At 34.1% G+C, this 27,091-nt stretch overlaps 1 protein-coding gene and 1 long non-coding RNA gene across 51 annotated transcripts in view; one reads left to right on the plus strand and one right to left on the minus strand.

Moving 5' to 3' along the window:
- PPFIA2 (PPFI scaffold protein A2) overlaps window positions 1-27,091 on the minus strand; it is a 501,376-nt gene that overhangs the window by 14,633 nt on the left and 459,652 nt on the right. For 20 of the 50 annotated variants that reach the window (XM_017020086.2, NM_003625.5, XM_047429775.1 and 17 more), the window contains 6 exons: window positions 26,694-26,775; window positions 22,228-22,428; window positions 11,634-11,696; window positions 10,403-10,432; window positions 8,650-8,843; window positions 4,710-4,807 (listed from right to left, as the gene is read on the minus strand). In XM_017020086.2, coding sequence (XP_016875575.1) covers window positions 4,710-4,807; window positions 8,650-8,843; window positions 10,403-10,432; window positions 11,634-11,696; window positions 22,228-22,428; window positions 26,694-26,775 — 668 coding nt within the window. The remainder of the gene's footprint in view (window positions 1-4,709; window positions 4,808-8,649; window positions 8,844-10,402; window positions 10,433-11,633; window positions 11,697-22,227; window positions 22,429-26,693; window positions 26,776-27,091) is intronic. The other 30 variants (XM_017020090.3, XM_047429778.1, NM_001220476.2 and 27 more) reach the window with 6 other exon arrangements.
- PPFIA2-AS1 (PPFIA2 antisense RNA 1) overlaps window positions 6,582-27,091 on the plus strand; it is a 33,234-nt gene continuing 12,724 nt past the window's right edge. The window contains exons 1-5 of the long non-coding RNA NR_120491.1: window positions 6,582-6,698; window positions 10,080-10,187; window positions 19,787-19,917; window positions 24,027-24,162; window positions 25,456-25,556. This is a non-coding gene — a long non-coding RNA (PPFIA2 antisense RNA 1). The remainder of the gene's footprint in view (window positions 6,699-10,079; window positions 10,188-19,786; window positions 19,918-24,026; window positions 24,163-25,455; window positions 25,557-27,091) is intronic.

A 27,091-nucleotide genomic window follows, 5' to 3' on the forward strand; every position in this document is an offset into this window, starting at 1 on the left:
CAGGGTCAACTATGGATATGTTTCTTTTTTCTGATTTTATCATCGTGGTTTTCCTCATTTTGGCCATTATCTGACATGTCTGAATTTTTCTTTTATTGGCTCTCACATAATATGATTGAAAAATTGCAGAGGCTCTGAATGTCAACTTCTTCTTAAAAGGACTTTTATGTTTTTCTGAAGTTATAATAAGGGCAGATCAACTTAATTCCAATTAAAGATTGAGATAAATCAATGCTAGATTTCAATTTTAACATTTCAAAATAAAGCTTAGGAATCTCCTTCACTATAGTAACCATTTTACTACCTATATGTGTTCTGTAATATGTTCTAAACCTCAAATATACATAATAAAATTTATTTTTAACATTAATAGACATAATAAATAGCCTGATCTGTTTAAGTTTACCCTAGTCCTACGGTGTGTTTTATCAGAGACCTCAAATTAAAGCATATTTGGTGGTTATGACCTTTGATTTTTTTTACTGTATTATCATGAGATTACAACAGTTCTCTTTCTAGATTTATTACCCTTTGGCTTCAGCTTTCTGTTCAATTTTTAGATTATAATTCCATCCTTCTTGGAAGTCCACAAATGTCTCTAGAGGAGTATTGTATAAATGGTCAGTCTTACTTATTTTATTATTACTATGTTTTACACATTCTTTGCTCCTGAAGGCCCGGCAGTTTTGGCACCTCTAAATTCCAATCCCCACCACCACCCCACTCCGTTCCCTGCTTCTCTGTTAGATAGAGGAAAAACAGAAGAGAATGACAGTTTTACTATTTCCTTACATTTTTCTTTTTTCCAAGATCATAACCTCTCAAGTCTTGTCCCTCTTAATTGGTTTCTACTGTTTTCAAATAGCTCTTTATTACCATTTATTGATTTATCTATCCTTTCTATTTCTTCTTAGTGGAAGATTGGTCTGACTTAATATGCTCCAATCTATCAGAAGTAGAAGTTCTTCAAATTAGTTGGTGTCCTTTCTGTCTGTGCCAATCCACAGTACTAGCAAAACATTTGTATATGAATCTGGAAGCTGAACATGTATCAGCCTCACATCTCTCTACTTAACTCCTTTTGTGGATAGAATGATCTCATTTCAAAAGAAAGGTCCTAGATCTTTCTTTGGATTTAGATAATAAGGAATATGAGAGGAATGCCCACATCCCACAGTCTTATTATTATTAGCTGCTCCATTCAAAGCAGAATGAATTTCTGCCCGAAGAAGGACATTTATTGTCCTCCCCTCAGAGTTTTGCCTCTTTCTCCCCGCCCCCCCCCAAACCGGTCTGCAGCAAAGCAAAGGATTTCCTTAATATTCTTTACTATATAAGGAAATTTTATATTATACATGTTAATTGTCTCTCTGAGTCAGTTCTGAAGTGTAGCTTTTCCTCCGAGTTTTCCTTAGCCTATTCCATTGAGGTTTTCAGACCTCAGAAAATGGGATGTGAGTTGGTTAGCATCACATTTTGGCTATATAATCAGCTGCTGCTGATAGTTACTGATTCATTCTAACAACTGGTTACCCTACACTTGAATCCCAAAAGCTAGGCAAGTGCTTGTGGGTGGCAGCAACAGTTCTCCACTTAATTTTATTAAACACACCGTTTTTTAAAAATGAACGTGACAATGCTCTCAATAATAAAAAATAAATCCAGTTTTCTTTGCACTAGTTGGATTTGTAAATAGGGAGTATTTGGTTTTTTTCTAGACTTAGGTTTATATTTTGATAGTCTAAGACATATTATGTGGTCGTGATATTTCTGCAAATATGTGCCCATCAAAAATTCCATCGTCACACCTGTAGTTAAGAGTGATCAAATATTTAAACTGATCTGTTTATGAGGTAAAGACAAATAAAGCATTAATTCAAACGTTTCCTCCTCAGAACAAAATACTTCTTTTTTTTTTCATTTTTAAAGTTAGATCTCTTTCCATAAATCTGTTTCCAAGCAATGTATGCACTGACTTTAAAACTGTGTAGAAATCTTCTTGACCTAAACAATAAATGGCTAGAAATCAGTGTTGACTGCTTCTTAGCAACAAATTAAATGTTAGTAGGTTCTTGATATTCACATGGTCTCTTCACTTCAGAAAACTATTCATTAAGGTCAGGGTTAATTCACACTTCAGATAATAAGAGACCCCTAGTCACTGTTGAGAATTATTCCTGTAAATGTCACCAGATCAGTCATAGGAAACAAGCTATTTATGATCTCATTCACAGCTATTTATCAGATAGAGTTGTGTGTGATCATAATGAATCATGGCAGTTTTTTTTTCCTCAGAGCTACACTCTAATCAGCAATTGCCAGATACTAATATAACATTTGGTATAGGGCCAACTGGGTAATTCCTCTCCTTTAGATCTATCTATATGTGAAACATTTCACGTGGTGAGCTGAGGCATAATAAAATCTAATTGGATAAAAATACTTCAGAAAGGAAACTACAAAGTGGTATCCCATGGGTAAAATCTACCTGTGTGCTAAGACATTCATTGTGTGGTCACATGCAAACTTCCTTCTGGGGTCCATCTTTGGTCCATTAATTCCCAAATTTCAATTCAACTGAACAGCAATGCACTGAAAACAACCTGCAGTTTCCTGGGGCCCCCAAATAAAGTGAAGTCAAACAACTCAATTTTGATAATGGAAAAGCACTTTCGTGCTTCGAAGTAATGCATCAAATGAAGTGTTACAAGAAATCCATTGTGAGTCTGTCTACTCTCCGATGAGACGTACGTAGAAAACTATTTTTAACCAATCACTTTCACATGCATTCAAGCCCGTTCCATTAGAACTAATGTACTTTCCAAGACCTGACAAAGATAAAAGTAATTTCTGACATTGTTTATCAAAAATGTAAATTATAGAAACCTAAAAAAAATCTTAAGAATAAAACAGCACTAAACGTTAATATTGGAGAATGTAATATATACTACTTTCTTATCTAAATTAAGCCTTAAAAGAAGTGAAGATGAAAACAGAGATTCATGCCTACCCTTGAACCATTAATGTAATGTAGAAACACCCATTACATTTGATGTAATGCTTGCACATATCAACTCTTGGATAATAGGAAATGTAAATACAACTAATAAGTATTTTAATATCCAAAATTTTCCTTAAAAGCTTTGGTTATATTTTCCTTAATATTTTCTTCTTTTTTTTTTTTTTTCTTGAGACGGAGTCTTGCTCTGTCACCCAGGCTGGAGTGCAGTGCAGTGGGGCAATCTCGGCTCACTGCAAGCTCTGCCTCCAGGGTTCACGCCATTCTCCTGCCTCAGCCTCCCGAGTAGCTGGGACTACAGGCGCCTGCCACCACGCCCGGCTAATTTTTTGTATTTTTAGTAGAAACAGGGTTTCACCATGTTAGCCAGGATGGTCTTGATCTCCTGACCTCGTGATCCGCCCGCCTCGGCCTCCCAAAGTGCTGCGATTACAGGCGTGAGCCACAGCACCTGGCCTTTTTCTTCTTTAAACAACAAAAGTGGATTGATTATTTTTAGCAAAAAAAAGCCCACGTATTATCTTAAGTGAAACAATTCAGAAACAAAGTCAAATACCTCATGCTTTCACTTACAAGTGGGCAATAAATAATGTGTCCAGGTGAACACAGAGTATGCAGTGATAGTCATTGGAGTCTCAGAAGGGTGGGAGGCTGGGAGGGTGGCGAAAGATGAGAAATTACTTAATGGGTACAATGTACATCATTCAGGGGATGGGTACACTAAAACCCAGACTTCACCACCACAAATATATCCATGTAAGAAAACCGCACTTGAACCCTTTAAATTTAAAACAAAAAAATACCTTTACCTATATCTTTTTCCAATCATGTATTTTTTTCCTTCAACAACAACAATAATAAAAATAGAACGGTCTCTAAGAATAGAATCTAACATATTCCTCTTTGAAATTATTCTTTCTCGGGTATATTAAGGTACTTCTCTTTTGAAATTATTCTTTCTTGGGCATATTAAGGTACTTCTCTTTTGAAATTATCCTTTGTCGGGTATATTAAGGTACTTCTCAACATTTAGATGATTTATTTTTAAATATAGTATTTTTTCTAACAAACCTGCAATATGGAGTGTCTTTTCTTGTTATTCAAATAAAACATTTTTCTGCACATAACAGCTGCAGCAATTTACACTGTTCCTGATAATATTACCAGCTAAAATTATTAATGAACTAGTTTGGTTTATAGGGGAAAATCCTTATATCATTCCTGCATAAAATCACCATATAATTTCTTTAACTATACAGTGTTACAAAAATAAAATTGCTGGGGCACTGGAATAAAATTAAAATGATATAAACCAAAGATGAACTGCCATAAAAATGATATACCATGTTTCTCTGAATCATACTGAGAATGTTCCATTAAAAGTCTGACAAAAATATCTACATGGAGACATCTTTAGTATAAGCAGAATGTATAATTAATAGGTTCACATAAATAAGTCTCAATTCAAAAACTCAAGATTACTCCCCAAATGGGATATTCACCCTATAATATGGAGATACCTGTTTCTGTATTTTAATTAGAAAAGAATGGAAAAAAAACAGTAACAATTCTAGCCAAATACTTATGCTACTTACTGACCATTGTAACACATATAACATTTTAGGTTAGTAAAAGTGAAAGCTAAAAACCCCAGAATAAAGGCATTTCATATGAAAGAAAGATATATTACCTTTTATTTCATGTTGGCTTGCTTCCCGTCTTCTTTCTAGTTCTTTTCTGTCATAATTCAACCTCTTTAAGCACATAATTCCATATTGTAAACTTGTTCTTTTTTTTTTATTAAAAAAAAAAAAACACAGTGAGTCTACCTTAGCAGGTGGAGAAAGTTTTGTGATTAGCCATAGTCAACACTATGCACTGCTTCTTAGGGCAACAAGTTAATAAATTACATTTGCAGCCAAATCCTTCAGTATTGGAGGGAAATACATTTATAATTATTCTAAGCACAAAATGTTTCGAAGTAATAGAAAAAAAGTTTTCAAAATAAGAAAAAACAGTTTTAAAATCATCATGGATTATATTGTTCATCTATGTGTCTTTGTCTTTCATTTAGCTATTCCTACATTAGGTGCAGGCAAATTAATATTTTATTCACTTGAAAAGAATTTAAAGTCCCCATTATGGAGACAGTAAGGAATTTATAAGAAATGGATACTCTCTTCTTAAGCTGATGAGAAAAATAACACAAAACATAAGTAAGTGAGGTAATAGAAGACCAAATACTAAAATGAGTAGCTCATAACTCTAAATGATACAGAAGTATGTAAGAAGAACCAGTCAGCAGATATTGAAACTGAATGAAAAGGATATGTGGAATGAGCAGAAAATTGATTGATCCTTAAAGTATCAAGTAGCAGAGACAGGTTGACTCAGGAAAATGGAGCATCATGAACAAAAGATTGCAGATGGAAATTTAAAGGTGTGGTTAGCGAGACACACATTCCAGGGCTGAAAACCCATGCTAGGAAGTAAGGAGGAATACAATTATACATGGAGAAAAGGGCATATTAAGGAAAGCCTTAAATTGTGTTTAAGTATGAAATACATATAATTGATACAGAATTATTGGACAATTTTCGGAGGAGGAAGAGGTGACAATAAAGTTTTCTGTTTGGCCAGGCATGGTGGCTCACGCCTGTAATCACAGCACTTTGGGAGGCTGAGGTGGGTGGATCACGTGGTCAGGAGTTCGAGACCAGCTTGGTCAATATGGTGAAACCCCGTCTCTACTAAAAGTACAAAAATTAGCTGGCTGTGGTGGCACATGCCTGTAGTCCCAGCTACTCGGGAGGCTGAGGCAGAAGAATCGCTTGAGCCCGGGAGGCGGAGGTTGAAGTAGCCCAGATCGTGCCACCGCACTCCACCCTGGGCAACAGAGTGAGACTCCATCTCCAAAAAAAAAAAAAAAGTTTTCTGTTTAAGGAAAAGTAATCTCATAGCAAAATAGGAGATGGAGAAATAAGTAATCAGAGAAGATAGAGAAATCAATTCAGGGTTCAGTTCTGCCAAAATAGGGACAACAGCCATGAGCTTGAAAGGAAAATCGATAAACCAGGCATGTTCTGAGAGAGAAAATGAGAAGGTTTAGTGACATTATGTATAAAGATGCAGAAGATGTGATAGGAAAAAATAATCTGTAGACTTCAAGAGTAAAGATCATTGATTATCAGTGATACTTTACATGTTTAGGAATATAAGCAAATTTAGACATACACATTGGCCAGATTACACTTACTTGCTAGATGCATTTCTAAGCCCCGCATTTTAATAAAAACAATGTTGAGTCAAATATTTCAGAATCAGAGAAAAATGGAAAGAAAATTGCATTAGGCAGGTGTTGTGGGTTGAATTGTGTTCCCTAAAATTTACGTGTGGAAGCGCTAATTCTCAGTACTTCAGAATGTGATTGCATTTGGAGATAGTGCCCTTAAAGAGGTAATTGAGTTAAATGAGGCCATTAAGGTGGGCCCTAATCCAAACTGACTGGTGACCTTATTAAAAAGAGATTTGGACACTTGGTGACAACAGGTATATATATTCACAGAGAAAGGATTATTTGAGGACACCAAGAGGTGACCATCAGCAAGCCCAGGAGAGAGGCCTCAGAAGAAACCAGACCTGCTGATTCCTTGATCTTGAACTTCTAGCCTCCGGAACTGTGAGAAAATGAATTCTGTTGTTTATGACACCCATCTGTGGTCTTTTGCTGTGGCATCCCTAGCAAACTAATTCAGTGATATACTAGATAATACTGATATAATCACTATCACAGATATTGGGCAGCTTGAGATTAAACCAATGCTTCTTGGTCAGTTTCTGCCAAGTTTTGATATAGAATACAAAATTATACTATACAGAGGACATATAATATTATGAAAATGTCTGTCAGATGGAAAACTGTGCCGAAAAGACCATAGGATGCAATATACAGTCAGGTACTACTTGCTTTAAGTTGGAGATTAGCATAACTTAAAAATGAAGCTTGGGCATTTCCCAGAACAAACAAAAACCAAGTCATTTGAGTATTTTTTTTAATTTGATCATTATAGAAAACATTTTACTAAAGTAATAAAACAGTATTAAAAGTCAATCTAGTGAAGAACGGAAAAACCGGACCCCAAAAATCTAATGCAAACGTGAAATATGAAGCCCTAAACTTCCCGTGACAGGGAGCTCACTCACTACCTCACAATGTATACACTACAAGGCAGCTGAGAGTGGTACAAAGTTGTTTCTTCTATTAACTAGAAGTCACTCACCTAGGATCTACATCTGTGTTAACTAAAAAATGAGGTGCTCAACAGAGAAAAAATAATTCTTCTATCACATAATAATGATCTTAAAACCTAAGAAAACTTACTTATTTAAAGTCTTCCTTCATCCAATTTAAATGTATTTAATTACTTCAACTTTACCACTGGACTTCTACCACCTTATAACAATTTGATACCCACAAATAAATGCAATTTCTTTTTGTTATGTCACTGTATGGTAGCACTTTTGTTGTCTCAGCCAATAAACACAGTCTAAACATGCCTTGTCAAGCCATTAACCAAAATGGAGAGTTTCGTGCTAAGGATAAATTCCTTATCTTTTTCACACAACTTTCTGTTAAATTATGGATTCTCCATCCAGCACTTTAATGGGTTTTTTAAAAAACACTGTTATATTTATCTTTACCACATTTAATTCAACAGTGTCAACAACTGCATTAAAATTCAAAATATCACCATAAGTTGGAAGCAAAAGCCCCAATTATCCTCTATTTATCCTAATTTTATGTCATCAACATATCTAATTTTTATACCATCTTCACTCCAGCCACTGATTAAATGTTGGACAGGAGAGAAGCAAATACAGTCTCCCAAGCCAAAATCATCTATGGTTATATTTATTAACTTATCACCACAATCAACTTTATGTGAAAAAAACAACCAAAATCCAGCTGACATTGCTTCACCTAACATAAACATAGCATTTATGATATGGTATTATAACAGACCCCTTTTTATCTGCTGGATGGTAAACAACTTGAAAAAAAGACATTGCCTTTTGTTCAACTGCATCCTCACAGTTATCTAACACAGTATTGTTTTTGTTCTGAAATTAATATACAAATAAGCAAACTCATAAAAAGACATAGAAAAATAAAAAAACACAAATATGTCTTAGAAGAACAATTTCTTCTCAAAATTTTCCCTAGAATGTTCCTAAATTATAAAATTTATAACCACATATTTGTGTAGAGTTGAAACTATGAATTTGTTTATTCTTCCTAATTTTCTAATATAAACACATATAACTATAAAATTACCAACATGGAATTTTCAAAGAATCTCACAAAAAAATAGATGTATGCTCTATGAGGAGAATTTTGTACACATATATTTCCATAAACTTTGGGCACATAATATGCACATAGCTCTAAATTAGAAAGTCCCTGCAATTTGCTGGATGAAAACATTTTTCCAAGTAGATGTATACAAACGATGTTTCAAATGACATATATTTTCTGTCTTCTAGACGTCCATTTTTGTTTTACTAAAGTATAGGTAATATATTGTTTCATTTTAATTATTCTTTGGGGAAAAAAAAGAAAAAACACCTACCGATGGAAACTATCCACCATTTTTAAATGGACACGGAGATCTTTTTTTGTTAGGTGATCTAACATTCTTGCATCTACCAAGCATTCCATAAAGTAACTTCTGTACTGAGGTAACCCCAAGCTGGGAAGCCATTCATTTCCAATCCACTCATGATTCATATCTCCATAAGCCAGGGTCTGTAGAAAAACCGGACACTAGAATTGTTTTATAGCAGTCAAGTTTCTTAACCAATCAGATAAGATGGTAATTGGATAATATTACCTATTATTATAACTGATATTTAATTACTATGATATGTGGAAACAAAGCAAAAATAATATTCAGATAGCATTTGATTCGATTTGGTATAAAATGGAACTCTGCATACATTTATTAAAGCATCTGCCTATTGAAAATGATTGGCTATTTACTTTGTATTCTCAAAAGGAATTACATTTTGTCCAAGTATGTATTTTATTAATAAAGAAATTATTATACAAACTCTGAGCTTTAAGATTCTGTCTTTAAATTGATAGGTTTGTTTTATTTGTATCTGTCATTTCCCTCTTGTCAATGCACTTATTGCCATTTCCCACTTATCAATGCCACTACTACCATTGCTATATTGTAATGGCAAATGTTGATGTGAAATGGGAACCTCAGTAAACAGAGAAAGGAATAAATGTTTTGGAGAGACAGAATTTTGAAGCTTTTTATGGACATTGTTGTTACTTAGCAAAGCAGGTCGTCAGCTTTCCAAAAAATCATTGGAAAGAATCAGTCTTTTCTAGAAATTAATCAAGATAGACTCTAAAAGAAGCAGGACAGGATCAAAAACTAAGACAGATAACCTAATTCTTTAATATAACAAACAAACTATTCTTACCAATACTGTTCAAAACAGCTAAAATGAAAACCCAAATCAACCATTACCACTAAACCAATATTTTAAAAGAACTATTACTCTCTATTATTTTTACAGAATTCCCATTTAGTTCCTTATCATGCCCTAATTTCTCAATTCTAATATGCATTTCTAGGGAAAATCTAACTGTTCCTCTTCTTTTGTGTGTTCTCAAGAACAATGAAATTTTTATCAAAATCAAAATCAAATACAATCCTACTGTGTGTTTAAATACAGGTCCTAATGTAACTACCAAATTTTTTCTTATATTGAAAGGTTTCAATCAGATTGAATATAACACAAATTTTCTCTTTTGGTCATCCAAAATGTGGAAATGTAGAAAAAATGCACAGCTTCCTTGCAAAAGTATATGTCTGTTCCAAGTATAGACACCTGTCTCATACAAACATCTCAATAAATGCTAGTGACTCTGTGGTCTGCAACGCCAACACTTGCTCCTCCAACCTCTCTTCATACACTTTGCATTATATCTGAAGGCATGTGCAACTCCAAATAAGTCTTTTCTTTCTTTTTGTTCCCCCTTTAGATCCAACTTGAATGCTTCCTGATTAAATATATACAGGAGTGATTTCAGAGGAATTTAAGTTTTGGATCATTCTTTTGAGAAAGAAAGAAAAGTACCCTTTTAAAAGAGGTAAGGTATGAAACGTCAATCATCTTATTTTAAAAATATGGTAACTTAAAAAGACATATAAAGTATTAAACATAATCTACATTTACCTATACACATCAGCCTAATATTGAGCTAAGTGAAGGTTTACAATATTATGACTTATGACAGTTTCTTGATTTATATTCTCATTGCCTACTAAATGATATTAAGGGTCTTAAAGCATATGAATCTCCTACCTGGGCCCAGCTTCCTTCCTCAGATTCTTTCTGTGTTAGCAGCAGGAAATGATTAATAAAGCAGGTAAATATAAATTAATTTCAAATCAATACAGTAAAATTTTTCTAGCAGAAGCAAAATTGTTATACAAAATATTTTGTATAACAGGTAGAATAAACACACAGATTCATAGACCCACAGTGATCAATTTTGCAGTTCAAAGGCAATTAGGCAGCAACTACATCATTTTCAATTAATTCTAATTTAAATGTTAAATTCATAATTTTGTGAACATTTGATTTGGTCATTACAAACCTTTTTTTAATTCTTAAATGAGTGTAATTTTTAAAATGTAATGTGCTATAATAAAAACTTCTGATGACAAATATATATATGTATATATGATAGAGAAATCTTATACAAAGTAAATTAGTGAAGTGAAAAAACTGTATCCCTCCAACAAAGCTTTGTGATAATCAAATCGATTTCAACAACAGCCAACAAAACAAAACAAGACAAAAACCAAGTACAACAAAACTAAACTAAAAATGAAATTAGTACATGACATTGGTGTTTTTATCCTTAACAAACTTGTAGATAATCAATTTTCAAATAAGGATAACACTGAAAAGACATTAAATTAAAAAGAAGTTGATAAAGATAAAATATATGATATGCCCAACTTTGTTACTTTACATGAAAAAATGATTTTTATAGCATTTTATTTTTAAAAGTGACAAAGAGTCCCCAAGAAATTCTTTAAAATTGTGCTTTTCAGTACCAAATTAACATAACACTTTTTTGGTTTTTTGGGGGTTTTTTTGGTCAAGCTTGTATCTAAGATGGTAAAGCACAAGAAACCACATGATCATATTAAAAATGAATATTCAATCTAATCTTTTCTATTACCAATTTAATTTGGTTTAGAAACATGTTACCTGTGAATATGTCCAATACTAAATATTTGTTACAAAAACTTCCAATGTTGCAACATGAATACTATTTATTACTTTCTTCCTTATTGTTTGTGTACTATAAGCTCTTATGATATTAGCCACAATCTAACACTATTTCATTAAAAAATTTCAAGAGAGTGCAGTAAAAGAAAACTGTAAAAAATGTTAGTTATCATTGCATGTAACTATAAAAACACACCCTATTACTCTGGTCTATTGTAAACAGATTAGTTTCCTCATCCAAAGAGCAGCAAAGTCACTTTCCTTCAGGTTCAACAAAGCCATTAAGACTAACCGTTTTTGCTGGAGCTGCAAGATTTTCCATTTCTTCATGAGTCACCCAAACGTTGCCTGAAGGCTAGTGAGGAGGCCCAGAGGGAAGCAGAGGAATCCATGGGAGGCAAGCAGTGGTAAAGAAGAAAGGCAGCACCTCTGTGAGTTAACAGCAACACAGCAATACCACAGTGCCCTTGCCCCTACCGTGTGCATGAAAGAGACAGCATGGCTGGTTTGCTCAGAGCTCCCTGTTTCTTCTACTCAAAAAGATTAACTAGAAAGAGGCATTCTGTGAAGCTCTTGGGGATGTAGATTTAAAATGACATTTCTGCAATTATTAATCAGAAAAAGAGCATCATCAAAATTTGCATTTCAATGGTATGTGGCTATCAGATCAATTTTTGTAATAACGGTGAACTGATTAAATTTGAACTGTAGAATAATGTAATTTTAATTTTTTACTCAGAAAACAATGGCACATGCACTTTGTTGTGTTATTATCAAAATTTCCTTCACATAATTTTGATTCTCGATATCCTTTGAAGGAAAAAAAATGGTTGTCAATATAAAGCGGGAAGCATTATCGTAACTTATCTGGAAACCAGCATCAGCTTTTCCCAAAAGATTCCTTTTACTGTGTGTGATTCAGTAAATAGTAAGTGTCCCTGAATTCTTGCAGCTGAGAAAGAAGTGAAATGCTATTTTTAATTTAATAAAATGTATTTTTTAGCCACACTAATAACTGTCAAATTATAAAATCCATATATTTCCTAATTCTCCACCAGTATCTGATACCATTATAGAGAAGAACATAGTGTAAAATAATTTTTTTTCTCTAGCAGGCAATATTCTATTATAAAGTCCCATTTGCTTTCTAAATAAAACACCCCTTGGTATTAGTTCTATACACTTAATAACGTACAGTTTCGAAACCAAAGTCCACTTAGTAACATACAGATCAGGCATATCATTGAAGGTATTGGCCCCTGGAAACCACTTGCCATCAAATTCCATCATTTCTTTATGAACATTGCAAGGTTTTCCAAGCACATCAATGAAATTTACATCCTATATATTATCTGCTACTTGTTTTGGGGAGGGTCCAATCTTTAAAGAATTGGTGTAGCAAAGTTGTTACCCAAACATTACAAGTCATCACCATAATTCACTTTGGGTTTTTCTGCCATTCACCTAGTACCATAACTTTTCCTGTATTAAAAACAAATGTAACTACATATAAATTGATGAGTATAATTTGATGTAAGTGAAATCTTATATATGTATATACATACATATATACAGTCATGCACTACATACCGACATTGTAGTCAAGAATGGGGTGCATGCACAACAAATGGTCTCATATGATTATAATGGAGCTGAAAAGTTCCTGTCACCTAGTGATATCAGAGCCATTATACCATCGTAGTGCAATGCATTATTCACATGTTTGTGGTAATGCTAGTGTAAACAAACCTATTGCACTGCCAGTCGTCTAAAAGTATAGCACGTGCAACTATGTGCAGCCCATAACCCTTGATAATCATCATTAATGACTGGGTTATTGGTTTATGTATTTACCACACCATGATTTTTAAATCATTATTTTACAGTGTACTCCCTCTACTTTTGTTTTTTAAAGAGTTAACTGTAAAATAGCCCCAAGTAGGTTCCTTGGGAGGCATCTCAAAAGAAGGCATTGATATCCTAGGAGATGACAGCTCCATGTGTGTTACTGCCCCAATGACTTTTCAGTGGAACAGAATATGGAGATGAAAGACAGTGATACTGATGGTCCCGATCCTGTGTAGGCCTATAGTGATTTTTGTGTTTGTGTCTTAGTTTGTAACGAAAAAGCTTAAAGAGGGGAAAAAATAATGAAATAGCAGAAAGCTTATAGGACAAGGATATAAAGAAAGATATTAATTTTGTTCAGCTGTACAATGTATTTGTGTTTTAAGCTAAGTATTATTTTAAAAAGAGTCAAAAGTTAACAAAAAAAAAGATTTATAAATTACAAATGTTACCATAAGCTAAGGCTAATTTATTACTGAGGAAATAAAAAGGTTTTTTTATGAATTGTGTGTAGTATAAAGTATAGTGTTTATAAAGTCTACAGTAGTATATAGTAATGTCCTAGGCCTTCGTATTCACTAAGTGCCCTATTCACGTGTACCATTTTTTATCTTTTATACTATATTTTTACTGTACCTTTTCTATGTTTAGACATATTTGGATACACAAATACTTACCACAGTGTTACATTTGCCTACAGTATTCAGCTTAGTATCATGCTGTGCAGGTTTGTACCCTGGAGCAATAAGTTATACCACATAGCCTAGGTGTGCAGTAGTCTATACCATTTAGGTTTATGTAAGTATGCTCTATGGTACTCTCAAAACGAAGAAATTGTTTCATGACTCATTTCTCAGAACATATATCTGCATTAAGTGATATTTGATTGTATATATACTTAAGTAACAAATGGAAATGGGTGGTAAAGATTCATAATTATAAGCAAATTCGAGGCACATAAAAATTCCACAGGCTAGACATCAAATATATGTATAGAATTTATTTTCTTCTACTGTTTTGGAATTTAGAGTACAGATGATGTTTTTTCTATAAGATAAATCTGTGTACACCTATTAAATAAATTTAGAATATAAAAGTCATTTATGTCCTTAAAAGTCCCTTCCTTGTATTCCCTGCTTCTAACAATGATGCTCATTATAAACAGAAAGTTGCATATGAGTATATAAATCATTACATTACTTGGAATAAATTGTTTTTATTGACTTTAGGAGGAGAGTGCTGTGCTGAAAAGTACTTTACATGCATCTGTCACATTCCCTTTACACTGAGTTATCGTGGTGCTTTCTTGAGTGGGTATACTGTTGGTTCAAAGTGAGTTTCAGCAATGATTACCTGAGAAGAAATTCATTTAAGCCAATCTTAAATGGCTTAAGCTTGCAGAACAGTGTAAAATCAATTTTACACTGATTTGTGTAGCTTCTGCTTTGAATCGTAATCCAAATAATGAAGATCTCATTACTTCTTTAAGAAACTACCTGTATTAATTATCTCATACTAGAATAGATACATGCATAGTATCTTTCACAGATTATCTTTAAGTCTGTGTCTGCCAGTCTGTCACCATATTCTGGGATGTGGAACATGCTGGAAGCTATGGTTTTATCTGTTTCATTCCTCACAAAATAAGCATATACCCAGGACAATTTTCTGAAGTATGACTGGCAAACTTTCAGAAGTTGTATGTTAGTTGTTTCTGTTTGATATGCAGTTTTACTTGTGAAGACCACTGCCAGCCCTATAGTCTTGTAAAAAGCCGACAGAAATAGTTTCTACACAACCTAGTCAAGTAGACATTAACTGAAGTTTTAACAAGTTTATTTTATAGGCAAGCTCATATGTAGTAAGTCAATTATTCAATCAGATTGCTCTCTCTCCACCACCACTTTAGGGGATGGAACTTGCATCTAAGTACATTGTGACGGAGTAATTTACAGCATGAGAGTTTCAGAGCAAAGCATCCCTACAAGATAGCTAGATTGGGAAACTGAGCAATCAAAGGGCATAAAGATATGAGTACCTTGGGATTGAGGATACAGTACAAAAAGTAGGTTGGAAAAGCATAAGAAACAAATATTGTATAACTTGGTTGTGGTTCTCTGAGATCCCCTTAAAATTATCTACTCACTGCCCTTGGTAGTCTGTGCTGCAATCTCCCCCAAAAATGTGCGAGCTAGAAAATGCAAACCAATAGTCATTTTTTTGTGGCTAATATCATCTGAGTCTAACATGAAATTTATAAAATTTCAATTATATTATCAAATTAGAATCAAGGGGCTTGAGTTATACAGTAGCACTTACTAATGACTACTCTAGGACATTTCCTAAGCCTGTCTAAATTTCAGGTTCTGCACTTCTTAAGTGGGACTAAAAGTGCATGCTCCAGAATAGAAAGAAACACTAAAAAGTTTACATTATGATACAACATGTTCTTATACAGGGCTGGGACTAGGATGAGGCACATGAGGTCCTGGGAGGCTATAATTTAAGGAAACATTCACTTTCAGGGTTGATATCTGACAATGAGAGCCTCTTTAAATTTTATGCTTGAGATTATCTTGCTTGTCTCCCCTTAGTACCCATGGAATAGAACTTTGAGAAAGTATCAAGGGAGAAGGAGAAGGAAATTTCTAAAAAATGATCAGAATTAAAGAACTTACCTAATGAAATCATTCTGGAAAGAGTTAAGACAGAAAAATAAATATTACAATGAACTTAAGAAATAACTTGTGAAAATTAATCAGGTGAAAATAATGAGTAGTCTTGCTGTCAGAGATACAGTATAAGTAAAGCAGCCAGACCTCAGAATAATCCTAAATCTTACCTAGTTAAAGTAACTTTTGTTACTACCTAGGTCATTTAAAGTGTTTTTTACTTTGTAATGGAATTACAAAGTAGTAACTTGAAATTACTTTTCACATTCAAATGGCCTGGATCCACATTTCTCCCTTATCTGAATTTTTGTCTCTCATTATAAGATAAATCCTTCTCATTATAATAAGAATGATATTTACACCTCACTCTCTTTTCAATAAAGGTTAAGGTTTATAAAGGCAATTATACCACACCCTCTTTTCAATAAAGGTTGGGGCTTATGAGGTAAGTAATAATGAAAAGAGGAATCAAACAGACTAAAAGAATGCTATAAAAAGAAGGAAAACTGATAGAGTGCAGGAAGCAGAAGCAGGAGAATGTGCTTGTTAGGAGAAAACCCACATAGGAGTATGACCTTAGGTGAGTCAGTTTACTTCTTTACATTAGTTTTGCCCATTTGTGAAACAGCTATAATAAAAGTACCTTTCTCATAGCTGTAGTTGTGAGAGTCAAATGGGCTATTACATGTAAAGCGCTTAGAACAGTCCCTGACAGTGAGCATTCTGCTGATGTTGGCTACTACTGTAATTATATTAGATATTCTGTTAGGTAGTCTCCATTCAAGCAAATCTTTAATTCAAGAAATACTCTGTAGGTCTCTGTATTACACTGAGCTGACTAATGCCTATCTTACACCTTACATTTATGTTTAATCTTGTTGAATTATATGGTTATCAAAAATCACTTTGTTTAAAACTTATTTATTTCCACTGCACTTGCTTTTAAAATGTTTAATTCATCAACTTAAATAAATGTTACATAAAGCAAAATATAAAACAAATTTGGCTCCTATATAAACACTAAGTTGAATTAGTTGGAAAAACCAGAGATAGGCAAATCTTGAATGAAACACACTATCAATAAAATACAATTTTGTCAAAGTCTGGGGAAGGCATTGTAAATGTCCAGAAGGATTCCTCATTCAAATGGCTTTTTGAGTTATCTTGAAGTCGTCACTTTAAAAAGAAACACCAACTAGAGAAATTAAACATGTTTCCAGATAAGATTATCTAAAAGGATAATGTGGAACTCCAGACATTGGAAACATACACAAAAATAGTTTTAGGTGCTCCATCTAAATTTGCAATTCTTTAACATTTCTGTAATTTTTACCTGAGATAAAGTATTCAAAGAATGCACTTATTTTTGTTACATCCTTCTTCAACCAAATTTCAATTAACTGGTATCTCCATCTCTATCCTACTAGGTAAGAGACTTTCTGTAGTAATAGTAGCTTGGAGAAAAGAAACAGAAAGCTGGAAATTTAGGGCTGGCTCAAGGTAATCATATATGTGACATTTAAATTTTCCTTTTTGATGGTCCAGCCCATTATATCTAGGCAGGAAAGGAGGCTGAATCAAATAAAGTAGTAGAATAAATAAATAAATAAAAGTTAAAAATAAAAAAGCCCCGAAGCCCAAGTACCTTGTCTTTTTCTCCTCAGAACTTCAGTTAATAAACACGAAATACCTGGCTGAGGAACCCAAGCCCAAACCTCAGTGTGCAAAATAACTTGTATAATCTAAACAAACTGTAGTGTTCTTGAAGACATGATAGAATAACTTTGTTAAAAAAAAAAAATCTGCCTTTGTGTTTTGTAAGTGTGAATTCTAATACATAATGTTAGGTTATGACTTTATGTAGTGGATTCATTAATAGTGATTTATGTGGAATTTTCATTTGCAATGCAAATTGTATTGGAAATATATTAGAAATGAGTAAATGCTACCATGTAGAGTGAGTAGAAGGAAGAGGAAACATTTAGTAGATACTTTTAAAGCCTAGAGACACAACTTAACTTGTCTCATAGAATTTGCATCAGTATCTGGCAAGAGGTACATATATTCCGTGAATACAGAGCTATTACACATTAGTAAAAAGATATATATTCCTATAATAATAAAGATAAGTTGGGAAGGTTATGAATAGAAAATTAATATAAATACCAGATTAATAAGAATATAAAAATTTGCACATTTAGTAGTGATTTTTAAAATGTAAATTAAGCAAGGAGATAACCAATGTTGACAAAGGGAGAAAAAATAGCAACACAACACAATTTAACAATTAAAGTTTAAAAGTATTAAGAATATGCATTCCGTATACACAAATATAGCAATGGAAATAACCACAGTTTATGCAACAACATAATTACAAGCACATATTTTACACACAACAACAAATTGTGTTACACAAAACAAAGAAAATGTCCAATACTAGGAATTTGATTAAATAACTTATCACATTTCTACAAAGGACATATTCAATAACTAAAAGTGATGTTGCAGTTGCATATTTAATAAAATGAAGAAAATGCTTACACTACATTACTAAATTTACAAAAAAGTACAAATTAATATATTATGTGAAATAATCCATTTATATAAAAAGATAATGAAAAAAGAATGACAAGATCTTCATCAAATGTTTTCAATAGTGAAAAAATTAACATTGATTATCTCTAAAATCAGTATTTTTTAATGTTTTTAAATTATTTTGTTGTCATCTTTGTATTTTTCTGTATTTTACAAATGTTATACAGGATCATGTATTAGTTCAATAAACATATAAAACTTAAATGCTATAAACAATATATTTTTTATGTTTCAAATGTTCATTTTTGTCTGAAGCCTTATCCAGCTTGTAGTGATTTCTCCTTTCTTGAAGCTCCATCACACTTCACTTCTATTGCACATTTTGGAGTTAATCTATATAATCCTGTACTAAATCTACCAGTCAACATGCTTATTTTCCTTAGTAGAGTTTCCCTTTCTGATCTCAAGGCCACACGTTTCTTATACTTCAGCAGAGTATATGAAATATGTGGGTAGAGTGATCTATACAATGATTATTTTAAGGTGAATATTTACATAATATCTAAAATTTGCCAGGCACTATTGCTAAGGCTTGGGGTTGATGGAAACCTGATGCTATCTTTATTTCGTCTAGTGTGAGATAAATGAAGAAAAGAAGAACTGTAAAATGTTGTTTATAAGTACATGGAGTGGTAACTCAGGAAGGAAACCAAACCCAGGCTTTGGGGGCTCAGCAAAAGCTTTTCAGAGGAAATATGTAAAGGAATCGATAAATGAATAATGAATTGGAGAAAATATGATGACTTTGAAGTAGGATGAAAGTTTTGGGCAAAGGGAAGACCAACTACAAAAGCTCATAACTGACCAAAAGGAAAGATGTTTGAAAAACTGAAAGTAGTTCCTGACCTGGGAAATAAAGCCTTCGAGGTGAACTGAGGCTAGATCATAAAGCTTTCTTTACTTCTCCCCATTCTTTAAACAATTGAATGTTAATTAATATGGTATAATTTAAATTCCTTCAGGTTGGTTAAATAGTTTTAGAAAAATGGTTTTAAAATTCCCTATTGTTCATTAAGAAATGAATTACACTGGTAAATAAAAATAATAAAATGTATCATATTTTTCATCTGGAAGTTGGGACTTCAAATTTATTTTTGCAAGATTCATAATGTTTAATAATTTTGTTTGCATTTGCTCTTGGGAGGAAAATGTGGATATAAACTATTTATGATGCTTCTCTCTCAGCTGGAAATTACTCAGCAAACTCTTCATCAGACTTAAATTAAATTTACAATAACTATTTTAATGGTCTTCTCAGTTTCTTATTTTAAATATACAGGTGGCTCTTGAACAACACAGGTTTGAACTGCATCATTCCACTTATACACAGACTTTCTTCTGCCACTGCCACTCCTGAGACAACATGACCAATCTCTCCCCTTCCTCCTCCTCAGCGTACTTTCAACATAAAGACGACGAGGATAAAGGCATTTATGATGAACTACTTCCACATAATGAATAGTAAATATAATTTCTCTTCCCTATGATTTTCTTAATAATATTTTCTTTTCTCTAGCTTACTTTATTGTACGAATGGAGCATATATGTGTACATATAAAACACATAATACATGCTTATCAACTATTTGTGTTATCAGTAAGGCTTCCAGTCAACAGTAGGCTCTTAGTAGTTAAGTCTTGGGAGAGCCAAAAATTCTAGCTGATTTTTTGACTGTGTGTGGGGGGTCAGCACCCTTAACTCCTATCTTATTCAAGGGGCTATTGTATTCTAAATTGTCTTTTAGCTTGAGTCATAATCCAGGTATAGTGAAAAACATTTGTGTCTATTTAAAAATAATATAGGTAAGAATTTTAAAAATTATATATTTTTCCTACATGTCATTTAGGAAGAACTTAAAATGGAGTTATGTAAGAATTATATAAGCCTTTTAAATTTGACCTTTTATTTCTGGCATTAGAATCTAGTATACTGGGAAGGAAAATGTGTAAATAGAAATGAAACAAACTATTCACAACTGTTTAAGATCATGTATAAAAAAGTTATACTTGTTACTTTTCTGCCTGAAAACTGCAATAAAGTAATAAGACTTTTTAATATTTTACCTATTGCTAAAATTTATCTCATTCTCCCATATTTTATTATGCTATATAAGATATGAGATTTGGGAAATCTAGTAATTATCAGAAATAATATACTTTATAAACAAAATATATAATTTAGGAATGGAATAAACAAATAATTAAATACTATTTGGGAGTTTTTGGGAATTTGTCGTCATGCATGCCTTTTTTGTCACATTTTGTTCTTTTCTAGGATTAGGATAGGTAAAAAATTATGAGATGACTAGGAATTTATAACTGAAAAACAAACAGACTTTGAAAGAAAAAGATATTCCAGATATTCCATTTGGTATCTGTAAAACGTCAAACTCACATAATTTCATAATTACAGAAACTTCTTAAGAAATAGTGAGTTACAAAAGAACACATACAAGTGTCCAACAAACATATAAAAAAGCTCAATATCACTAATCATCAGATATATGCAATTAAAACCAAGTGAGATACCATCCCACCTCAGTCAGAATGGCTATTACTAAAAAGTTAAGAAAAAAAAAAGATGTCGGCAAGGGCACAGAGAAAAGGGAACACTTATACACTGTTGGTGGGAATGTAAATTAATACAACCTCTATGGAAGACAGTATGGAGATTTCTCAAAGAACTAAAAATAGAATGAGCATTCAACTAAGTAATCTCGCTACTTAGTACCTACCCAAAGGAAAAGCAATTGTTATATCAAAATAATTCCTGCACTCATGTCTTTATCACAACATTAATCATAATAGCAAAATCATGGAATGAATCTAAGTGTCCATCAGTGGATGATTGGATAAATAAAATGTATATACACACCATGGAATACTATGCAGTCATAAAAAAGAATAAACTAATGTCTTTTGTAGCAACATAAATGGAACTGGAGACCATTATCCCAAGTGAAATAACTTGGAAACAAAAAAAAATCAAATACAACATGTCCTCACTTGTAAGTGAGAGCTAAACAATGGGTACATGTGGACAGGTAGAAGGAAATAACAGACATTGGAGACTCCAAAAGGGAAGAGGTTGGTAGGGATGAGGTTTGAAAAATTACCCATTGGGTACAACGTTCACTATTTGGGTGATGGGCACACTGGAAGCCCCAAAATCTCCATTACATAATATACCCATGTAACGAACTTTCACATGTACCCCCTGAATCTATAAAAATAAAAAATATTAAAACTAAAAAATGTAGTCACTTAAGCCTTGCATCTTTAGTAATCACTAATGCTTATATCTTATCTTCTGAGAAATTACCTGAGGGAAAGAGAAAGGAAGGAAGGAAGAAGGGAAGGAAGGAAGGAAGGTAGGTAGGAAGGAAGGAAGGAAGGAAGGAAGGAAGGAAGGAAGGAAGGAAGGAAAGAAGGAAGGAAGGGAGGGAGGAAGGGAGGGAGGAACAAAGGAACGAAGGAAGGAAGGAATTGAAAAAAGAGTAAGCTCAGGGTCTTGTCGCTTGGGAGAAAAATCTAAACTTCAGATGCTAGCTCAAAAGTCTGCTATGCTAGCTTTCACGTCTGATATGAATCATAGTTCCTCATTTGAAAACCTATTAAAAGTAGCAGCAAGGTTAATAAAGAGCAAGCTTAATCTCTTGAGAATAATTCAAGCTGACATTGAAATGTGTGCTGTCACAATTTTGCTCTGTAGACTTAGACACACGGCTATTTGCCTAGCACTGAGGAAGGGGAGGAGCAGAAACTGACTCACAGTTCGAGATGTTGGAGGAGCTGAAGGACTTGTTAGGGAAACCATCTCCTGGATTGCTAATCGAAGTTTTAAGCGATGCAGTGGATTGCTGATTCCAATTTCTCTCTGGATCTCAGTGTCAGATAAAGCAGACATGATGGCACCACTCTTCACGTTGGCTCGGCAGGCTGCCACGTACCACGCAGGCATTCCCAACCAAAGCTGTTAGATAGGAAAAAATACACTAACAAATTATAATAATAGTTATCATTTTAGTGTCTCATATGCTAGGAATTATTTTATGTATCTTACATACATGACCTCACCCCACGAGATAAAATGTTATCATTATTTTCCCTAGAGGACATAGATGCACAAAGAAATTAAATGATGTATTTAAAAACACCAGGGAGGCAGGGATAGAAACAAGATTTGAAATTGAGACATGCTAGCTCCAGAGACTCTATTTTAACTAATTCATATTACTAGTGGTAAAAGTAATGGCTGCATGGCACCAAGTTCCCCTTTGTATGTAGGGACCAGAACGGCTACAAGCCACATTTGATAAGGGACTCAATTAATGTTTGCTTAATGAGTGGCTTCAATTTATAATGCTTCTTTGGAATTCTGAGTGAAGAGAAATTCTGTCACAGAACGAGACAGCTGTGCCACATCCAGCCATGTGATTTCGATCAAAGCATGCAGTGTAGCTAAGCCACATTTCCACCTACCTTCCTACACCATGTGAAAGATGTGTGAACTTAATTAGATGCTATATATGAAAATGCCTTTTAGAGAGTGAAATGATGTGCTAAGAAAGAAGTTAAAACTCAAATCATTGAAAAACTAAAGAAAGCAACAAAATTAATAATGCATCAGAAATTAGAGATTTTAAGACTGGGCACAGTGGCTCATGCCTGTAATCTCAGCACTTTGGGAGGCCGAGGTGGAAGGATCACATGAGGTCAGGAGTTCGAGACCAGCCTGGCCAACTTGGTGAAACATCATAATACTAAAAATACAAAAATTAGCTGAGCATGATGGCGAGTGCCTATAACTCCAGCTACTCGGGAGGCTGAGGCAGGAGAATCACTTGAAACTGAGCAGCAGAGGTTGCAGTGAGCTGAGATCAGGCCTTTAGACTCCAGGCTGGGGACAGAATGAGACTCTGCCTCAAAACGAAACAAAAGAAAACAACAACAAAAAATGAGGCCAGGCGCGGTGGCTCACGCCTGTAATCCTAGCACTTTGGGAGGCTGAGATGACTGGATTGCCTGAGCTTAGGAGTTCAAGACCAGCCTGGGCAACATGGTGAAACTCTGTCTCTACTAAAACTAAAACAAACAAACAAAAAAATCAGCCAGGCGTGGTGGCAGATGCCTGTAATTCCAGCTACGGGGGAGGCTGAGGCACGAGAATTGCTTAAACCCGGGAGGCAGAGGTTGCAGTGAGCTGAGACTGTGCCACTGCAATCCAGCCTAGGCAACAAAGTGAAACTCTGTCTCAAAAAAGAAAAGAAATTAGATATTTTGATTTTTCAACTTTGCTGTGAGACTCTTGAAAGACAATTAAACCAGCAGTGCTATTTACACAGCACAGGTCTCGTGCACATCTCAAGCACTGGGTGAATGCCAATCACGGGCATTATATTTCAGCACCTGAATAACATCACTTAAAACAGGAATATTCTCCCATTTTCCCTCCATCATTAGTTATGAGTAAGAAGTAGAAAACACAACAAAAAATTAGCAGCTTACATATTTGTTTTTGAATGTCCAAAAGATTGACTGATTTTTTTTTCTATTTGTTGAAATAAACAGATTGAACAAAGGAGAGAATTGTGAGAGTGAGAAAAAGTGAGACAAAGAAGAAAAACTATAAATCAGCAAAATACAGTGCCAAGAGCTCTGGACCACAAATCAGAAGACCTGAGCCCTAATTCCTTTCCAGTCATTGGTGAGTCATGTAACCCATCTAAACCTCAGCCATATTTTCCTCATTTGTAAAATGAAGGAATCAAGCTTGATTATTTCTCTCTACCTCCTGATATCCGTTCCCTTCTATAATCTCCTTCTTTTGGGGGTAGGATTGGCCCAGTGATTTATTTCTAATAAATAGCTGATGATAAAAGTGATGGGATGTCACTTTCCAGTTTAGGCAATAAAATGACTGTGGTTTCATTCCTGCTAGTCCCCTCCCGCTGTCTCTTTCCCTCTGAGCTCTCACTCTGGAGTAAGTCAGATCTCAGGAGCCCTGTGGAGAGTCCCATATGACAAGGAACTAATGTTTCTGGCCAACAGCCAGCAGGAAACTGAATCATGACCCTGACCATATGAATGAGCATGGAAGTGGATTCTCCCCAAGTCTAGCCTTGAGATGACTGCTGCCCTGGCTGATACCTTGATTGCAGCCCTGTGAGAGACTCTGAGCAGAGGCCATCACAAAGCTATTCCCAGACTCCTGACCCATAGAAGTCATGAGATCATAAATGCCAAATTTGGGGGTAATTTGTAAACAGCAATAGCTAACCAGTATAAACATCCTTTTAGTTGAAAAATTCTACAATATTAAAAGACTATTTGTCTCTTTTGAAAAAAAAAATGCCAACAACGAAACTCTTTGAGTCAGTGTGGACTGGGTTGTGATAGAGATAAGAGAAAAGAAGGGGAAGATCTAAGTACAATGTGTGACTGTACAGATTATGCTTTCTTCCAGCAGGTTAGGCACAAATAATTGACCTTGACAGGTACATTATATATGACAGAAGATAGTACTTGACTATTTAGTTTATAAACTCAAACTGTTCAAAATAACTAAACATCTAAATATGTCTTCTTTGGACCCTAATGATTTTTTTACCTTTGTCTTCTAAGATATTTGGATTTCCACACTAGTTAACATCACCCAAATGCCTGCCAATACATTGTTACCAATGTCATCCATAATTAGACCTTAAAGAGTCTTTGATGCGGATAAATGGCATGTGAAGCATGGAATTCTCGCCTACACAAAATTCTTAACAGGCTGTGCACTCAAGGAGGAACGAAAGGAGATGAAGTTAAAGTTTCATTCATTGGATCACTCAGCTCATTCATCTTGTTTATTCCATTTTATAATTTAAGTTGCATTAGGAATCATAGGCAATTTCTGTGTACTCAGAATAGGTTTAATTAGCACAAACTTCACTGTCTGTCATCTCCTATCACCTTAATGTCAGTAAATCTGTTTCTTTTTTCTTTTTATCTGAAGGATTTGTTCGTCGCTTGCCAAAATAGCAGCGAACTCTCTGTCAAACTGCAACTCATTTTATCGGAGCAAAAACTGAACAAAGAACTGCTATCATTTCTGAGGTGTGATTTCTTAAGCATTTTGTCTTGTGATTGATTTTTTAAATATAGTAATTTTAAAGACACGGTTGAAAGAAGCAGCTGATCGCTAATATCTGATGGCTAATATGCTAAATTTCCCTGTCTGATGTGAAAGAATAAAGTAAAAGCAAAATACAGGCATTTTTCATTCAGTGCAAGAAAAAATACAAAGCGTGTTTCTAGATCTATCTAAGTCTATTTTTAAAACTAAAATGGGCTTTAATGTTTCTTTATTATTTATTTACTTAGCTCTGGCTATAATAAAATGAAGACGGATAATTTTATAATCCAAGACCATTTAAAACAACATGTATAATTACCTCTGGCAGGCAAGGAAAGCCTGGATTCTTCTTTGCCCTGACACAGGCATATCCTAGCAGCTACTAGCAGCTCACATAGAGAACTGAATAGAAGGGGCAGTGAACAGTACTGTTAAGTGACATGAAACAGCCCTTCGTAGTCAAATATGTAGTTCCGTCAATGTCAAGGTCAGTTTCTGCTGCCTCCTACACTGTTCAGATATTCCCTTATTTTTCCAGAACACTATGTTGTACAGGAAATGCTGAAAATAGTTCTTCTTTTATTGTAGCATTCAGTTTGGACACAGAAGGGAATAAGGTGTAAGTCTTCTGTTTAATCCCAAGTGTCTAAACCTAGCTGGTCCATAGGCTTTAGAGAACTAGGTTCAGGAACTAAATTACAGGCAAAGGAATGTCTCTCTGTACATCTAGGTGATCTTACTACCTTGGATTACAGAAGTGTTGAATATGGAGAGGGTCTTCTCTGTAACCTGCTAATGAGGAAGGGCCCTGGCCTAATGGATGGGAATGGATGTTCTCTTGCAACAATAAAATTTTGTTTCTTCTCTTGCTCTAGAAATGAAAAGGGTGTGATTTAGAGACACTTCCTTTTATCCCACTGCATGATTTCTTCTACTACGATCACAAAAAAGTGTCAGCATAAAATCATAAATTTATTCCCTAGTAAGCAAATAGTCCCTTATGAGCAATTCCAGACTAAGGGGATGCTGTGATTTCAGAAACTTGCCGTTACCTGTCTCAAAAAAATTATCAACTTAGTAGTGATTGATTCAAGGGCCTCCTAGTTTCATTCTCTTACCTCTAGCCATGCGACCACAGTTGGCCCATCCCACTGGGCAAAAGGTAATCCCTTTCTCCGAGCTTCTTCAAGAAGTTCATGCCTGAAGTATATAGCAAAGATTATTAGGCAGGTATATGGAAAAATATGGCTGTGATTATTTTTAATGATAATATTTTAAAATAACCAATCATCCTTTACAAGATTTTTTATGATACAATATAGAATAACAGAATTCCTTATTCCTTTGAGTAACACACACACATCATCCATTGATTTTATTACGAATGAAGCATTGACATAGAAAAGTAATTTTCCCCAACATTTATTCATGAAAATTAGAACATTAAGTGCTAATGGAATTAGAAGTGGAATTATATTACCAGCAAATATCTTATCCCTTTAATGAGAAAATGGCC

This window comes from Homo sapiens, chromosome 12, assembly GCF_000001405.40.
Source record: "Homo sapiens chromosome 12, GRCh38.p14 Primary Assembly".
NCBI lineage: Eukaryota > Metazoa > Chordata > Mammalia > Primates > Hominidae > Homo > Homo sapiens.